This window comes from Homo sapiens, chromosome 7 (assembly GCF_000001405.40).
Source record: "Homo sapiens chromosome 7, GRCh38.p14 Primary Assembly".
In the NCBI taxonomy this organism is placed as follows: Eukaryota; Metazoa; Chordata; class Mammalia; order Primates; family Hominidae; genus Homo; species Homo sapiens.
The window spans coordinates 123586441-123604854 of record NC_000007.14 but is presented as its reverse complement, the minus strand read 5'-3'; the positions used below and the strand labels follow the sequence as shown (position 1 = coordinate 123604854).

Here is an 18414-nt window from a genome sequence, read left to right as displayed (position 1 = left end):
GGAAAGTAGGATTCTAGTACTTTTTGAAAGTTTTAGTTCTATTCCTTACCCTTGAATATTGACCCTGACACCCCCATTTTATTTTCTTCTCCCTCCTTTTCCCTAGAATCACCAATTTTCAGAGTTAAAGACTGTCAGGTAGCCCCACCTGTAAATTTTATTTACAACATGCCCAATAAGTAATTGGTAGCCTCAGTTTGAACATCAAAGTGTCAGGGAGTTTGCTATCTCCTCACACGGTGCTTCTTCTTTAGCCAGCATTTTTTTTTTTTTTAGACAGAGTCTCCTTCTGTCAACCAAGCTGGAGTCCAATGGCATGATCTCGGCTCACTGCAACATCCACCTCCCAGGTTCAAGTGATTCTCCTGCCCCAGCCTCCCGAGTAGCTGGGATTACAGGAGCCCACCACTATGCTGGGCTAATTTTTGTATTTTTATTAGAGACAGGGTTTCACCACGTTGGTCAGGCTGGTCTTGAACTCCTGACCTCAGGTGATTCTCCCCCATCGGCCTCCCAAAATGCTGGGATTATAGGCATGAGCTATGGCACCCGGCCTAGCCAGATTTCACAATTAGGAAAACCAGTGAACTTGAATCCACTCTTCAAAACATTATCTGAAGATAATGTTTCTACTTCTCTTACCTTTTTCTGGTTCTCTTTCTCAGAGCTACACTGAGAAAGTAGTGTTCCTCTGCAACACAGGAGCCCTGTTAATATCCCCCAGGAAGGCTGTCAGATCTCCACTGAGCTTTTTCTTCCAGAGGCTGGACAACTGCTCTTCCTATAAGATGGCCTCACCTCCTGCACTGTCTTGACTGCTTTCCTGGAAACACATTTGTTTATCCATTTCTTTCTAAAAGTGACACTGAACCACAGGCTCTGAAGGCAACACAACAGCTACAGTCAGACCAACACAAGTTTAAGTGTTCCCTTTTCTCAAACACTATACATCTGTTAATTTAGTCCAAGTTCAGATAAATATTTAGGCTATTATGTTACAGACTTGATTTAGACCCCAGTATCCCAAAGATCTACAAGTCGTATGTTTTCCCCACGTTGTTTTCTGTGCAATTGTATGCAGGACCCTATTGGACTCTATTTATTCCTATTACATTTTATATTTTTTCAATTTGGCCTTTATTTCCTTCTGCTAAAATTGAATGCATTTTCTATCTCTCCAAGTATTGTTTTATTTGCTGACTTAATAAGCATGCCTTCTATATGTCCTTAAGCTCCACTGATAAAGATAAATGTTGAAAAGAAATTGGCAAAGGACAGAGGCCTCTATGTTGACATTGATCCATTATTTTGCACCCTCCCAGAAAAGGTGTTTATCCAGCTACAAACCCTCTTAAAGACACCACCACCTAGTATTAATGTCTCCTTTTTGATAATAAGACCATCATCAAGGAATATTGTCAAATACCTTGTTGTAATACAAATGCACAGTTATCTATGATACTACATTCCTTTGCTCTGCTAATCAAAAAGACAAAGGAAAAGAATTAACCCACCAATTCTTAGTGATTATTTTTTTCCTAAGGATGTTCAGACTATCCTATTTGTCCATGCAAAAATATACATTCAACGTCTGTTGTGTTCCAGGCACAGGGCTAGACACATATATATGGGATCCATGCCCTCAGAGAGTTTTCTGCCTTTAAATAATGTATTTTAGATTTTTCTCCAGAAATAATACCAATTTCTCTTTAAGGTTTAGCACACAGTAAAGCACATAGCATAGCAAGTCTTTAATAAGTATTTTTATATTGAGTTTAATAATTATTATAACTAATATCTATTGAGTGTTTACCTGTGATAGGGATTACACTAAGTGCATTAAATGGATGTCACTTAACGTCTATGACATAATTCTCCCCCACTTTACAGATGAGAAAACTGAAGCACAGAGTCATTAGGTAACTTACCTAAGCCCACATATCTAGTGGGCAGTGGAGAGTGGGATATAGCCCAGTCATCTGACAATGGAGGCCACACACGCTTAACCAGTATACTCTAACTATGACTCAGCTACTTTGAATGAATTAATGAAAAGAGGGTCTTATTTTGTAACCTAAAAATTCATAAACCTGAGAAAAAGTTTTCTCAAAAAGTTTAAGCAACTACCTAACAAATTCATCGAACAACTCCAGGGGAAATATAAAACTTGTAGGCAAATTTCTATTTGAAGATAAAATATTCTCATAAAATAACTGAAGTGTAAAATTATAATTTTTATCACAATAAATTAATAATCTCAGCACAAAGCAGTGATAAGATTTTTCTTGTCCACATCACTGCTTTACTTCGTGGAAGTCAAATCATTTTAGATATAGAAAGCTCCTTAGAAGTTAACTGTGCATTTAAGAACAATATGAGTGACGATATCAGATAAATTTTAAGGACTTTCCAACCTTTAGATTTTGTGATATAATTTGCAGGAGTAAATTTCCAATTCTATTCGGTTTATTTTTTAAAAAATCTAACTAATTTAAAGAAATGTTTCAATCTGGGCAGAAAGCATTCATCTTTTTCAACAAGTGATGAAAAAGCCTTAAAAGATTTATTTTATTTATTCACAAAAATTATTTAATTTTTTTTATTAGAAACCAAGAGGTGAGCTGAGACCCTTCTGGGATTCTATAGTAAATATATTGACATGTTCTATAAGGATACTCATTCTTAATCTGTTTTTCTCATGATACAATTTTTTATGCTTAGTAATTATGCAATTGAGTTGATATTCTATAAGCAAACAAATTCTAGCTTTAGTCTCTAATTAAAAAGGCTCTAAACAGGTAAGCCCGTAGGTGATCAAGTGGAAAGAAAGTAATGAGTAGCTACTATAATTTGTATTTCAATCTGTTTAAAATATTACCAATAATGAACTATTCAATAAGCTAGTTGGTGAGGTACAGATCAAATATTTCATAATCTCACCTTTTGGAATGATCATCTTGTCATTCTTATCCAGGGACTTGCCTTCCTAAATCAGAGGAAGTGCCCTGGAGCCAATGTGTGCTTCTGTGTATCTAAAATTAAGTATCCAGTTGGTGGTTAAATTAAGACCTGACCTTGTACAACTGAAACATAAGCGGTCTCTGGCACACGGTAAAGTATTACCCATGACTTCTCTAGACTCTCATCAAAAGAAACGCAAGCCTACAGAGGTATAATAAGATTATCTCTGTCCTGATTGGTTCAAAGAACTCTTATGAAAACAAAGGACCTGCCAATTCAGCTGCAGGGAGTGTTGCTACTGATGGAACAAAACCAAACCACTTGGAATTAACGCACAATTTAAAGGTATTTGTTCAAGAGACAAATCTGTAAGTCTTTGTGTTGTCAGAGCCTAATCCACTTTTGACATATTTTAATACACACTATTTTTCTTTCTCCATCTTTCAGATTCAGGTCAAATTTCATTAAATACAATCTTCTTGTCATACTAATTTGCTGTCTTTGATTTTTGTTTAATAATTGCTAGTCTGATATACAGACGGAGATAGGGCAGTCAGTGACATCTAATCTGATCAAGAATTTTTAGGTCAAGTTATTGAGCATATATAGTCTAAAAAAATGAGTAGCAAATGTATTAATAAAACAAGCAAAAAAATTGGGATTTTTAATTGAGGAAGGTTGTTTTCTTTTAAAAAACCAATTAAGTTTATTGTCTTACTGATTTTCCAATGAAAATAGTCTGCCTTAAATTTGTTTTGACACAGCTATCCTTGGATTAACTCAGGCCACCATCGGCACTCACAAAGCCATCTGGCCTCTATCCCCTACACCCCCCTACTAAAACAACTCGTTTTGCAGGTCTCAGTGACCTCTTTCTGACTTACATTAGAAACTCATTTCATATTTTATATTCATTTTCATTTCTTATTTTACAAACCCTCATTGGATTTGCTGCCAGTGATTCTTCCCTTTTTCCTGAAACTCTCTACTTCTTAAGCTACTGGGAGCACTACACGCTTTTGTTTTTCGTCTCATCTCTGACATTTTCTTTGTACTCAGTGTTAATGAATATAAATACGTGGATTGTAGTGAATTTGCCAGTTTTATTTCAAAAATTGAGAAACCGTAAATGTGAAATGAGAGGTCCTAACTCCTCTTTAACTGTGATAAAAGAAGGTGCGTTTCAGTCATCTTCAAAGCAAACTGAGAAGTATTTTATGTTTAAACCACTATTAACTGTGTATTGCAATAGTCAAGGGTAAAAGTTAGATCATTGCATACATTGTCTACATTTTATCATTATTAATCTAATTTGGAATTTTTCAATGAAGAATTCTTGTGAAAAGCAATCAGCATTGTGAAACACTTTAATTTTATACAACTTTTTTTTACTTACAATATTAGAAATTCATATAAAGCTTTAGAGTATAATGCAAATGTGTGGGAAAATGTGCACCTAACACTTTAAAGTGTGGCTTGACACATTGCAGTGACTTTTCTGCTCTTAAACTAATGATGGTATGCCTGTTTTATCCGTTTATATAATAGTTGTTATAGATCTACCTATACCATACAACATTTAAAATAATGCATATAATGATAGAAAAGCCAAAATAAGATCATGTGGTAAAATAAATGAGAGCCTGTTACTGAAGACATAGTCCTGTGAACACGTCTTGCTTTACCACTTACTGTTTCTGTAGATGCATTATTTACATTTTTGAGATTATTTATCTGTAGTATGGGAGTGATGATGATGATGATGATACAATGACCATGGCACCACCATTTTAATGAGGCCTATTCCTCAAGTAGTTAGTCATCTATGCACACACAATAAGACATACTTTGAGTAACTCATATATTTGAAAGAATGATCTATTCATAATGCTAGTAATCGCTTCCACATTTGCCTCTATGAAAGCTGGCTTTTCCTGTGGGTTTTCTCAAAGGGGAAACAAAATGAGTCCTAGCTTTTCAAACAGTGCCTCTAGTTTTGTCTGGTGAGAATGAGTTTCAGGGAGGGGTCAGATTTAACAGTGAAGGACTAGTTGAATACTACTGTTGTTCCAAGGAAGGTATACAAAATGACACTGACATCCAAATACGCATTCCTTCTATCTATATATAGCAAGAAATGCATGTACTGTTTCAAAATGATAATTATAGCAACTGATATGAAAGATGAAGAGTCTTAGGTTAAAATAGTTGAAGCACGGTGTTAGAAGAACTGTCCTTGGACCCACCTATTTCTATTTTGGGAATAAGAAATTTAGGTAGCATTGTTTGTGAATTTCCAGGGAGCAATGTGGCAGCTTGGCCTTCATATTTTAGGCACCTGCCACTGCTACAGCCTCACTTTGCCCACAGGTATTCTTTCTTCCTGAAAAAGAGTGTGGCACTTGCAGGCCTGGATTTTAAAAAACAGCTCTTGCTATGATTAGTCATACAATCCCATCTACCCTCTACAATGCCACTTATTAAGTCCTTTCTGATCCAGCCCATTCTTTATGAGGCTTTGTCAGAACTGGAGCTTTATCTTTGCCTTCTACAAAAAATGGTGTTGTTCAAACACCTTGGGGAGTCCTACTTTAAGTTATCCTATTATTTTTTGTTTGTTTTGTGTGTTTTTTTGGTATTCTTTTTTGTTGTTGTTTTTAAGTTATCCTCTTATTTTGTTGTTTAGTAAGCAATACCCATGTATATCTCTCTTGGCTTCATTTTCACTTTGGTATATTTCAGGCTTTCTCCTTTTTCTCCTTCTTTCTTTTTTGTACTTGACCATTATTTTGGCCTTGGGGTCAGTGATTTAAGAAATGCACATTTTATTTTGGTTAGGCATAAAACAGTAGAAAAGAATATAAAAACATAAAATAAATCCTTTATTTCTAGTATGCTTCCCAGAACCTTGGTAATTGTTTATTTTTGCTATGCTGTACGCTGTTTTTCCAGACTGAAAATCAAACAACTGAAAACATGAGCCAAATCTATTAGCACTGAACTCCTCCAACAGCACTGATGTCACAGGCCCCTGGAAGAATCCACGTTGTTGACATTACTCTGGTCATTTAGTTGCCATGTAGCCAAGCAAAGGCAAGTGACGGAAATAGTATTTTTTAGTAAGGTAGCACTATAGGTAGTTATACTAAATTAATGACAAACAAACAGTGAGGAAGATCCTGTATGGGGTTTCAGTTAGGGGTTTCAAAGTTCACTTTGTCTAGTAAAGTTTTTGGCACTCATCAAATATGTGTTGAATATTTTGTTGAACACTGATGACTTGTTCAAATGGGTTCGCAGTTATTTCTGTTTAACCAAAGTTTAAGTCAATTAAGGTTGAGTCACAATAAATTTTTTAAAAGCTGGTTGATCTTTTTTTTTCTTGTTTTTCCTTTTGCGAACAAAGTACTTAATTTTCACTATTGTGAAAGGCATTTCAAGTGTATCTAAGAGAAACAAACTTGGATTAAAAGGAGAGAATATGTATCTTAGTCTAAGTTCTGCCAGTTTTTGTGAATTAAGACAAATCATTTAGAGATATCTAAAGGTTTATACTTCAGTTTCCTACTGTGTAATAACACTGCTCTTGTTATTTCATATCATTGTTATCAAAATAAGGGCATAATTATGAAAGTTCTTTGAAAAACTAATAATCCCTATACAGATACAGGACTTATAGTCTAGATATAAAAGTATATTATACTTCCAGGGACATAAAATGGACATGAGGGAAACCATTGCATTTGGTTTTCTATTCTATATATACAGACACACATTTTAGTATATGCATAATGTGAGGCTAGGCACTTCTGGGAGTGTCATGATGGGTGGGACATGTGGTTCTAGTCCCAAAAGCTTACCATTGTATAGAGACAAACAAGTAGAGAGATGAGACCTAAGAAGGCTGTGGAGGAGAAGGTCAGAGAACAAAGACACACACACACACACACACACACACACACACACACACACACACGAAGTTTGAAAAGAGAAAATGGTTTTACATTAATGGATCATCAACCTAGAGTAGTTTCCCCATATCTGTGAAGGATTATTTTTTTTTCAGATGAAGTCTTGCTCTGTTGCCCAGGCTGGAGTGCAGTGGTGCGATCTCAGCTCACTGCAACCTCTGCCTCCTGTGTACAAGCAATTCTCCTGCCTCAGCCTCCCGCGTAGCTAGGATTACAGGTGTGTGCCACCACGTCTTCTAATTTTTGTATTTTTAGTAGATACGGGGTTTCACCATGTTGGCCAAGCTGGTCTCGAACTCCTGACCTCAAGTGATCTGCCCACCTTGGCCTCCCAAAGTGCTGGGATTACAGGCGTGAGCCACCACGTCTGGCCAGGGGAGGATATGCTTTAAGACTCACAGTGCTGAGTGCCTGGAAACACAAATAATACAGAACTCTATGTATGCTGGTTTTTTTCCTATACATAGATACTTATGATAACGTTTAATTTATAAATAAAGCACAGTAAGCAATTAACAACAATACTAATAATGAAGAACAATTATAACAACATACTAGCATCAATATTCTTGCAGCCATCATTAAATAAAATAAAGGTTCCTTGAACACAAACACTGTGATACCATCATGATTGATCTGACAATCAGGAAAACCACTAAATGTTCAGATAGGCTGGTGACATATGCAGAGTGAATATGCTGAACAAAGGGGTGATTTATGTTCTAAGCAGAACAGAGCAGGGTGACCCAAAATTTCATCACACTACTCAGAAGGGCATGCAATTTAAACTTATGAATTGTTTATTGCTAGGATTTTTCGTTTAATATTTTTTGACTAGGGTAACAAGCAAAACCGTGTGTAAGAGGGATTATTGTTTAAGAACCTTCCTTTTTCTTCCAGTCTCTTGTAATTCTGACTTCTTACATATCTCAGTAGTGCTAAGGCAAAGAGATTGTCACTATTCTTAGTACCTTATTTAATATAAACCAAGCCTAATTATAATCAGGACTTAAAATAAAGCTCTATATTGGCAACCAAAGTAAATTTTGAATTATTGAAAATTCAGTATTGTACTCTATTCTCTCTGAAAATAATTGATCTTTTCATGTGCATTTGTGTTTTGTTTCAATTTCTAATTGAAGTTGCTAATGCGTAATGACATTTAATTAATATTTGATTGTAAAAAGCATTTTAACAGTACATACTATAGAAGAAATTATATAAATTTAACGAAGAAAACTTAGCACAATAAATTCAAATTTTTCTTTTTCTCTTTCTTTATTTTTTCCTTATTATTACTATTATTATTTTGAGACAGGGTCTCCCTCTGTCACTTAGCCTGGAGTGCACTGGTACGATCTTGGTTCACAGCAACCTCCGCCTCCCAGGCTCAAGTAATCATCTCGCATCAGCCTCCTGAGCAGCTGGGACCACAGGCATGCACCACCACATCTGGCTAATTTTTTTTTTTATTTCTTTTGTAGAGATGGGGTTTGACCTTGTTGTCCAGGCTGGTTTCAAACTCCTGAGTTCGAGCAATCTACCCACCCTTCAAAGTGTTGGGATCACAGGTATGAGCCACTGCACCTGGCCTAAATATTTCAATGTAAATCCATCCTTTCTACCATTAAAAGATGTCACTCTTGCCTCTTGTGGATTCAGGTCTTTATATTTCAAATTGGAGCCACCACTTTGTGTATGTTAAAACAATTTTTAATGGTCTCATGATTTGCCTCCCCCCAATTTTTTTTTCCAATATAAGAGGTAAATTTAGTAATTCCTTTGGGAAACTAGAAAAAGTGTGATGATTTATGCTAGTTTTAGATTTATCTTTAGTAGAACAGTATAAGTACTGAGAAAAAATATTCTGAATATTCCCAAAGTATTTACTACATATTTGGCTTAGTTATGGCTTGATTTCAAGATTTAAAATGTAATTACCATTCAAATAAAGCAAAATTTTACATTTCCTTTATGTATACATTAATATAAAAAGTATTAAATCAGATTGAGTTTTGAGGTTTGGTTAAGCTGTTTTTATGCAGCTTGGAATGTCTGGGTAATTTTCCAGTCTTGAAGATATGGCCCATTCACCCACAGTGTAGACAAATACTTTCAAGGGGGCTTTGGGTGGGAAATGATAGTGAATTGGCTCACTAGCTAAAGAGCATTTACAAAGTCAAGAATGGTAGGATCCAGAGAAGTAGATGAATGTGGGATTCTCACCAGTGCAGTATTTAACAAATATTGACCATCTGCAATGCCAGGTATTATGCTGTGCACTAGGTATGCCAATGAGCTATATCAAGTTCCTGTCACTGAAAAGTTTGTATTTAAGTAGGTGAGGTGAATGTTACATAAGTAAGAAAATGAATTGTGGTAAACTCTGTGAAGAAAATAAGCATGACGATAGTTGGTCATTGAAGTGGGGAGGCTTCCTTCAGAAAGGATAGTCTGAGAGGGAACACATCTGTGCTGAGAACTTTCACAAAGAATAACCCGACACAGAAAGGTATAGAGGACAAACTTTTAGGAAGATGAAATGTAAGTTTAATTTTACTTTTTGTCATGAGGCAAAAAGGATGTGCCATGTTGAAGGGATCAACCAGAGAACAAATGAAAGTGAAGATCATCAAGGGATGGTAGGGATGGGAGGTGGGCCATGGATAAAAGCTTGGGTTTTATTACAAGCACATGAATTGAATGGCTTTAAGTTAGGGACTAATAATCTGGCTTATTTTTAAACAGTGATCAGTGTCATTTAGGGCAAGTGTCATTTAGGATAAGTGTCATTTAGGCCTCCCATGCCTGGCTCAGCGAGTTCCACGTCCACGGAGCCTTGCTTGCTGCTAGTGCAGCAGTCTGAGATCGACCTGGGATGCTGGAGCTTGGCGGGTGGAGGGGCATCTGCCATTGCTGAGGCTTGAGTAGGCGGTTTTATGCTCACAGTGTAAACAAAGCGGCAGGGAAGCTCGAACTGGGTGGAGCACACGGCTGCTCAGCAAGGCCTACTGCCTCTCTTGATTCCACCTCTGGGGGCAGGGCCTATCTGAACAAAAGGCAGCAGACAGCTTCTGCAGGCTTAAACGTCCCTGCCTGACAGCTCTGAAGAGAGCAGTGGTTCTCCCAGCATGGCATTTGAGATCCAATAATGGACAGACTGCCTCCTTAAGTGGGTCCCTGACCCCCGTGTAGCCTGACAGGGAGACTCCTCCCAGTAGGGGCTGACAGACACCTCATACAGGCAGGTGACCCTCTGGGACGAAGCTTCCAGAGGATGGATCAGGCAGCAATATTTGCTGTTCTGCAGCTTCTGCTGGTGATACCTAGGCAAACAGGGTCTGGAGTGGACCTCCAGCAAACTCCAACAGACTTGCAGCTGAGGGGCCTGTCTGTTAGAAGGAAAACTAACAAACAGAAAGGAATAGCATCAACATCAACAAAAAGGACATCCACACCAAAACCCCATACGTAGGTCACCAACAACAAAGACCAAAGGCAAATGAAACCACAAAGATGGGGAGAAACCAGAGCAGAAAGGCTGAAAATTCCAAAAAGCAGAATGCCTCTTCTCCTCCAAAGGAACACAACTCCTTGCCAGCAAGGGAACAAAACTGGACAGAGAATGAGTTTGACGAGTTGACAGAAGTAGGCCTCAGAAGTCGGTAATAACAAACTTCTCTGAGCTAAAGAAGCATGTTCTAACCCATTGCAAGGAAGCTAAAAACCTTGAAAAAAGGTTAGAGGAATGGCAAACTAGAATAAGCAGTGTAGAGAAGAGCTTAAATGACCTGATGGAGCTGAAAACCACAGTACGAGAACTGCATGAAGCATACACAAGCTTCAGTAGCTGATTTGATCAAGCAGAAGAAGGGATATCGTGATTGATGATCAAATTAGTGAAATAAAGCGAGAAGACAAGATTAGAGAAAAAAGAGTGAAAAGAAATGAACAAAGCCTCCAAGAAATATGGGACTATGTGAAAAGACCAAATCTATGTTTGATTGGTGTACCTGAAAGTGACGGGGAGAATTGAACCAAGTTAGAAAACACTCTTCAGGCTATTATCCAGGAGAACTTCCCCAACCTAGCAAGGCAGGCCAACTTTCAAATTCAGGAAATACAGAGAACGCCACAAAGCTATTCCTCGAGAAGAGCAACCCCAAGACACATAAGTGTTCAGATTCACCAAGGTTGAAATGAAGGAAAAAATGTTAAGGGCAGCCAGAGAGAAAGGTCAGGTTACCCACAAAGAGAAGCCCATCAGACTTAACAGTGGATCTCTTGGCAGAAACCCTACAAGCCAGAAGAGAGTGGGGGCCAAGTATTCAACATTCTTAAAGAAAAAAAAAGAATTTTCAACCCAGAATTTCATATCCAGCCAAACTAAGCTTTGTAAGTGAAGGAGAAATAAAATCCTTTATAGACAAGTAAATGCTGAGAGATTTTGTCACACCAGGCCTGCCTTACAAGAGCTCCTGAAGGAAGCACTAAACATGGAAAGGAACAACGGGTACCAGCCACTGCAAAAACATGCCAAATTATAAAGACCATCGAGGCTGTGAAGAAACTGCATCAATTAACGGGCAAAATAACCAGCTAACATTATAATGGCAGGATCAAACTCACACATAACAATATTAACCTTAAATGTAAACAGGCTAAATGCCCCAATTACAAGACACAGACTGGCAAATTGGATAAAAAGTCAAGACCCATCTGTGTGCTATATTCAGGAGACCCATCTCACATGCAAAGACACACATAGGCTCAAAATAAAGGGTTGGAGTAAGATCTACCAAACAAATGGAAAGTAAAAAAAAAGCAGGGGCTGCAATCCTGGTCTCTGATAAAACAAACTTTAAACCAACAAAGATCAAAAGAGACAAAGAAAACCATTACATAATGGTAAAGGGATCAATTCAACAGGAAGAACTAACTATCCTAAATATATATGCACCCAATACAGGAGCACCGAGATTCATAAAATAAGTCCTTAGAGAACTACAAAGAGACTTAGACTCCCACACAATAATAATGGAAGACTTTAATACCGCACTGTCAATATTGGACAGATCAATGAGACAGAAAATTAACAAGGATATCCAGGACTTGAATTCAGACGTAATGCACATCTACAGAACTCTCCACCCCAAATCAACAGAATATACATTCTTCTCAGCACCACATCGCACTTATTCCGAAATTGACCAAAAAATTGGAAGTAAAACACTCCTCAGCAAATGTAAAAGAACAGAAATCGCAACAAACGGTCTCTCAGACCACAGTGCAATCAAATTAGAAATAAGGATTAAGAAACTCACTCCAAACTGCACAACTGCATGGAAACTGAACAACCTGCTCCTGAGTGACTACTGGGTACATAACAAAATGAAGGCAGAAATGAAGATGTTCTTTGAAATCAATGAGAACAAAGACACAACGTACCAGAATCTCTGGGATACATTTAAAGCAGTGTGTGGAGGGAAATTTATAGCACTAAATGCCCACAAGAGAAAGCAGGAAAGATCTAAAATAATCACCCTAACATCACAATTAAAAGAACTAGAGAAGCAAGAGAAACAAATTCAAAAGCTAGCAGAAGACAAGAAATAACTAAGATCGGAGCAGAACTGAATGAGACAGAGACACAAAAAATCAATGAATCCAAGAGGTGGTTTTTTGAAAAGATCAACAAAATAGATAGACAGCTAGCAAGACTAATAAAGAAGAAAAGAGATAAGAATCAAATAGATGCAATAAAAAATGATAAAGGGGATATCACCACTGATCCCACAGAAATACAAACTACTATCAGAATACTATAAACACCTCTACAGAAATAAACTAAAATATCTAGAAGAAATGGATAAATTCCTGGACACATACACCCTCCCAAGACTAAACCAGGAAAAAGTTGAATCTCTGAATAGACCAATAACAGGTCCTGAAATTGAGGCATTAATTAATAGCCTACCAACAAAAAAAAGTCTGGGGCCAGAAGGATTCACAGCCAAATTCTACCAGAGGTACAAAGAAAAGCTGGTACCATTCCTTCTGAAACTATTTCAATCAACAGAAAAAGAGGTAATCTTCCCTAACTCATTTTATGAGGTCAGCATCATCCTGATACCAAAGCCTGGCAGAGACACTATATAAAAAGATAATTTTAGGCCAATATCCCTGATGAACATCGATGTGAAAATCCTCAGTAAAACACTGGCAAACCGAATCCAGCAACACGTCAAAAAGCATATCCACCACGATCAAGTTGGCTTCATCCCTGGGATGCAAGTCTGGTTCATTATACACAAATCAATAAATGTAATCCATCACATAAACAGAACCAACAACAAAAACCACATGATTATCTCAATATGTGCAGAAAAGGCCTTCGACAAACTTCAACAGCCTTTCATGTTAAAACTCTCAATAAACTAGATGTTGATGGAATGTGTTTCAAAATAATAAGAGCTATTTATGACAAACCCACAGCCAATATGTTACTAAGTGGGCAAAAACTGGAAGCATTCCTTTTGAAAACTGGCACAAGACAAGGATGACCTCTCTCACCACTCCTATTCAACATAGTATTGGAAGTTCTGGCCAGGGCAATCAGGCAAGATAAAGAAATATAGGGTATTCAATCAGGAAAAGAGGAAGTCAAATTGTCTGTATTTGCAGATGACATGATTTTATATTTAGAAAATCCCATTGTCTCAGCCCAAAATCTCCTTAAGCTGATAAGCAACTTCAGCAAAGTCTCAGGATACAAAATCAATTTGCAAAAATCACAAGCATTCCTATACAGCAAGAACAGACAAACAGAGAGCCAAATTATGAGTGAACTCCCATTTACAATTACTACAAAGAGAATAAAATACCTAGGAATCCACCTTACAGGGGACGTGAAGGACCTCTTCAAGGAGAACTACAAACCACTGCTCAATAAAATAAAAGAAGACACAAACAAATGGAAGAACATTCCATACTCATCGATAGGAAGAATCAGTATCGTGAAAATGGCCATACTGCCCAAGGTAATTTATAGATTCAATGCCCTCCCCATCAAGCTACCACTGCCTTTGTTCACAGAATTGGAAAAAACTACTTTAAAGTTCATATGGAACCAAAAAGGAGCCCGCATAGCCAAGACAATCCTAAGCAAATAGAACAAAGTTGGAGGCATCACGCTACCTGACATCGAACTATACTATGAGGCTACAGTAACCAAAACAGAGATATAGACCAATGGAACAGAACAGAGGCCTCAGAAATAACACCACACATCTATAACCATCTGATCTTTGACAAACCTGACAAAAACAAGAAATGGGGAAAGGATTCCCTATTTAATAAATGGTGCTGGGAAAACTGGCTAGCCATATGTAGAAAGCTGAAACTGGACCCCTTCCTTACACCCTACAAAACATTAACTCAAGATGGATTAAAGACTTAAATGTAAGACCTAAAACCATAAAAGCCCTAGAAGAAAACCTAGGCAATACCATTCAGCACATAGGCGTGAGCAAAGACTTCATGACTAAAACACGAAAAGCAATGGCAACAAAAGCCAAAATAGACAAATGGGATCTAATTAAACTAAAGAGCTTCTGCACAGCAAAATAAACTATCATCAGAGTGAATGGGCAACCTACAGAATGGGATAAAATTTTTGCAACCTATCCATCTGACAAAGGGTGAATAACCAGAATCTACACAGAACTTAAACAAATTTACAGGAAAAAAAACAAACAACCCCATCAACAAGTGGGCAAAGGACATGAACAGACACTTCTCAAAAGAAGACATTTATGCAGCCAAAAAACACATGAAGAAATGCTCACCATCACTGATCATCAGAGAAATGCAAATCAAAACCACAATGAGATACCATCTCATGCCAGTTAGAATGACAATCATTAAAAATTCAGGAAACAACAGATGCTGGAGAGGATGTGGAGAAATAGGAACGCTTTTACACTGTTGGTGGGAGTGTAAATTAGTTCAATAATTGTGGAAGACAGCGTGGCGATTCCTCAAGGATCTGGAACTAGAAATACCATTTGACTTAGCGATCCCATTACTGGGTATATACCCGAATGATTGTATATCATGCTACTATAAAGACACATGCACACATATGTTTATTGTGGCCCTCTTCACAATAGCAAGACTTGGAATCAACCCAAATGTCCATCAATATTAGACTGGATAAAGAAAATGTGGCACATATACACCATGCAATACTATGCAGCCATAAAAAAGGATGAGTTCATGTCCTTTGCAGGGACATGGATAAAGCTGGAAACCACCATTCTCAGCAAAATATCACAAGGACATAAAACCAAACACAGCATATTCTCACTCATAAGTGAGAGTTGAATAATGAGAACACAGGGACAGAGAGAAGGGAACATCACACACCAGGGGCTGTTGAGAGGTGGGGGGCTGGAGGAGGGATAGTGTTAGGAGAAATACCTAATGTAAATGATGAGTTGATGGGTGCAGCACACCACTATGGCACATGTATACCTATGTAACAAACCTCCACATTGTGCATATGTACCCTTGAACTTAAAGTATAATAATAATAATGATAATAATAATAATAATAATAAAGAGATGAAAGTCATTATATAATGATGAAGTGGTTAAATTTATCAAGAGAAAATAACAATTGTAATTATATGTGCACCCAACATCAGAGCACCTAAACATAGTAAGGAAATATTAAGAGTTCTGAAGGGAGAAATAGACAATAATAGTAGGGGACTTCAATACTCTACTTTCAACAATGAAAAGATTATTTAGACAGGAAAACCAGCAAGGAAATATTGAACTTTAGACTAAATGAACCTAACAGACATATGCAGAACATTACATAGAAGAATACACATTATCAATGGACATAGAATATTCTCCAGGATAGATCATGTTAGGCCCTAAAGAAATCTTAAGAAATTTAACTAGATTGAATTCATATCAATTATCTTTTCCAACCACAATGGTATGGAACAAGAAACCAATAATAGAAAAAAAATGGGAAAATTAAAAAATATGTGAAGATTAAACACACTCATGAAAAACCAGTGGGTCAAAAAAGAAATCAAAAGGGAAATTTAAAAACTCTTGAGACAAACAAAAATGGACATAGAACACACCCAAACTCGCAAGATGTAGCAAAAGCAATTCTAAAAGGGAAGAGCATAGCAGTAAACACCTATGTTAAGAAAAAAAAAATCCCAAATAAATAGCCTAACTTTATACCTCAAACAACTAGAAAAAGAAAAACAAAATAACCCCAAAGTTAGTAGAAAAAAGACAGAAAGGAAGGAAGGAAGGGAGGAAGGAAGGAAGGAAGAAGGAAAGAAAGAAAAAGAAGGAAAGAAAGAAAGAAAGGAAAATCAGAGCAAAAATAAATGAAATAGAGATAAGACAAACAAGAGAAAAGATCAAAAGTTGGCTTTTTGAAAAGATAAAATTAACGAAACTTTAGCTGGCCTAACTAAGAAAAAAAGAGAGAAGATTCAAATGAAATGAATAAAATCACATATATAAAAATACAGAAATACAAAAGATTATAAGAAACTACAATGAACAATTAAGCACTAATAAACTGTATAACCTAGAAGAATAGACAAATGCTAGAAACCTACAACCTACCAAGACTGAACTATGAAGAAACAGAAAATCTGAATAGACCAAAATGAGAAAGGAAATTAAATCAGTAATCAAAAATCTCCCTACAAAGAGAAACCCAAACCTAGTGCCTTCACTTTTGAATTTTTTCAAACACTTAAAGCATTAATTCCAATTCTGCTCAAACTCTTGCAAAAAGTTGAAGAGGAGGGAATACTCCCAAACTCATTTTATAAGGCCAGCATTATCCTGATACCAAAGCCAGACAAGGACACCATAAGAAAGAAAATTACATGGCAATATCCCTGATGAACATAGATGCAAAAACTTCAACAAAATACTAGTAAACCAAATTCAGCAGTGCATTAAAAGGATTATGTACCATGGTTAAGTGGCATTTATCTCTGGGATGCAAGTATAATTTAACATAAGTAAATCAATAAATATGATATGCCACATTAACAGAATAGAGGATAAAAATCATGATCATCTCAACTGATGCAGAAAAAGTATTTGACAAATATCAACATCTTTTTTGATATTAAAAACTCTCAGCTAATTAGGTATAGAAAGAATGTACCTCAACACAATAAAGGTCATATTTGGCAAGCTTACAGTGAACATACAGGTGAAAAGCTGAAAGCTTTTCTTTAAGAACTGGAACAAGACAAGGAAGCCTTCTCTCGTCACTTCTATTCAATATAGTACTGGAGGTTCTCACCAGAGCAATTAGGAAAGAGAAAGAAATAAAAGGCATCCAAATAGAAAAGGAAGAAGTTAAGTTGTCTCTGCAGATGACATAATACCATGTATAAAAAAAAAACCTCAAAGACTTCACCAAAGAACTATTAGAACTAATAAACAATTACAGTAAAGTTGCAGGATACAAAATTAACCTACAGAAATTAGTAGTATTTCTATACACTAACAATAAAATATCAGAAAAATAAATTTTAATAAAATCCCATATACAATAGCTACAAAAATAAAATACCTGGGAGTAAATTTAACCAAGGAGGTGAAAGGTGAGTACACTGAAAAACATAAAACAATGATGAAAGACATTGAAAGAAGACACAAATAAATGGAATTTGGAAGAATTAACAGTGTTAAAATGTTCACACTACAAAGTGATCTACAGATTCAATCCAAGTCTTACCAAAATTCCAATGATGTTTTTCACAGAAATGGGAGGAATATATTGAAATTTGTATGGAACCAAAAAAGACCTTAAATGGCTAAATCAATCTTGAGAAAGACCAAAGCTGAAAGCATCAAATTATAATACAATTCAAATTATAATACAAAGATTTCAAATTATAATACAAAGACAAAGATATAGTAAACAAGACAATATAGTACTTTCATAAAAACAGACACATCAAAAGAGAGCACAGAGCCTAGAAATAAACCCATAAATGTATAATCAACTGATCTTTGACAAAGGCACAAAAAATACACAATGAGGAAACGATAGTCTTTTCAATAAATCATGTTGGGAAAACTGGATATCCACATATATGAAATTAACCCTTATCTTACACCATATACAAAAATTAACTGAAAATAAAGACAAATTTAAGACTTGAAACTGTAAAACTACTAGAAGAAAAATGGGGTTGGCTGGGGGAGGTGTACTTGACAATGGACTTGGCAATAATTTTTTGGATATGACACCAAAAGGACAGGCAATAAAAGCAAAAATAAACAAGTACAAGCAAATCAAATTTTAAAAGTTTCTGCACAGCAAAGGAAACAATCAACGAAAGAAAATGCAACCAAGGGAGAAAATATTTACAAAACATATATCCAAAATATATAAGGAATGTATACAACTCAA

The 18414-nt window shown here is 36.3% G+C and overlaps 2 protein-coding genes across 12 annotated transcripts in view, besides 1 other annotated feature; one reads left to right on the top strand and one right to left on the bottom strand.

The window, feature by feature from the left end:
- Window positions 1-18414, bottom strand: part of ASB15 (ankyrin repeat and SOCS box containing 15) — a 72474-nt gene that overhangs the window by 34627 nt on the left and 19433 nt on the right. For 4 of the 10 annotated variants that reach the window (XM_011515817.3, NM_001290258.2, XM_005250146.5 and 1 more), the window contains exons 1-2: window positions 2941-3034; window positions 643-823 (exon numbers count right to left, since the gene is read on the bottom strand). Coding sequence is in view for 2 of the 10 variants with exons in the window: in XM_011515816.3 (XP_011514118.1) it covers window positions 2941-2956 (16 nt within the window). In the remaining 8 variants the exon portion in view is untranslated. Of the gene's footprint in view, window positions 1-642; window positions 880-1928; window positions 2230-2940; window positions 3035-18414 lie in introns of those variants that run through there. The other 6 variants (XM_011515819.3, XM_017011757.2, XM_011515816.3 and 3 more) reach the window with 4 other exon arrangements.
- NDUFA5 (NADH:ubiquinone oxidoreductase subunit A5) overlaps window positions 3204-18414 on the top strand; it is a 64655-nt gene continuing 49444 nt past the window's right edge. The window contains exons 1-2 of one of the 2 annotated variants that reach the window (NR_111926.1): window positions 3204-3306; window positions 8417-8503. Coding sequence is in view for 1 of the 2 variants with exons in the window: in NM_001291304.2 (NP_001278233.1) it covers window positions 8419-8503 (85 nt within the window). In the remaining variant the exon portion in view is untranslated. The remainder of the gene's footprint in view (window positions 3307-8416; window positions 8504-18414) is intronic. The other variant, NM_001291304.2, reaches the window with a different exon arrangement.
- Window positions 9786-10080: an enhancer, noted in NCBI's record as "tiled region #8884; HepG2 Activating non-DNase unmatched - State 12:CtcfO". NCBI's record gives its function as "activates a minimal TATA promoter and a strong SV40 promoter by Sharpr-MPRA in HepG2 cells {active_cell/tissue: HepG2}" and the evidence as "EXISTENCE:reporter gene assay evidence [ECO:0000049][PMID:27701403]".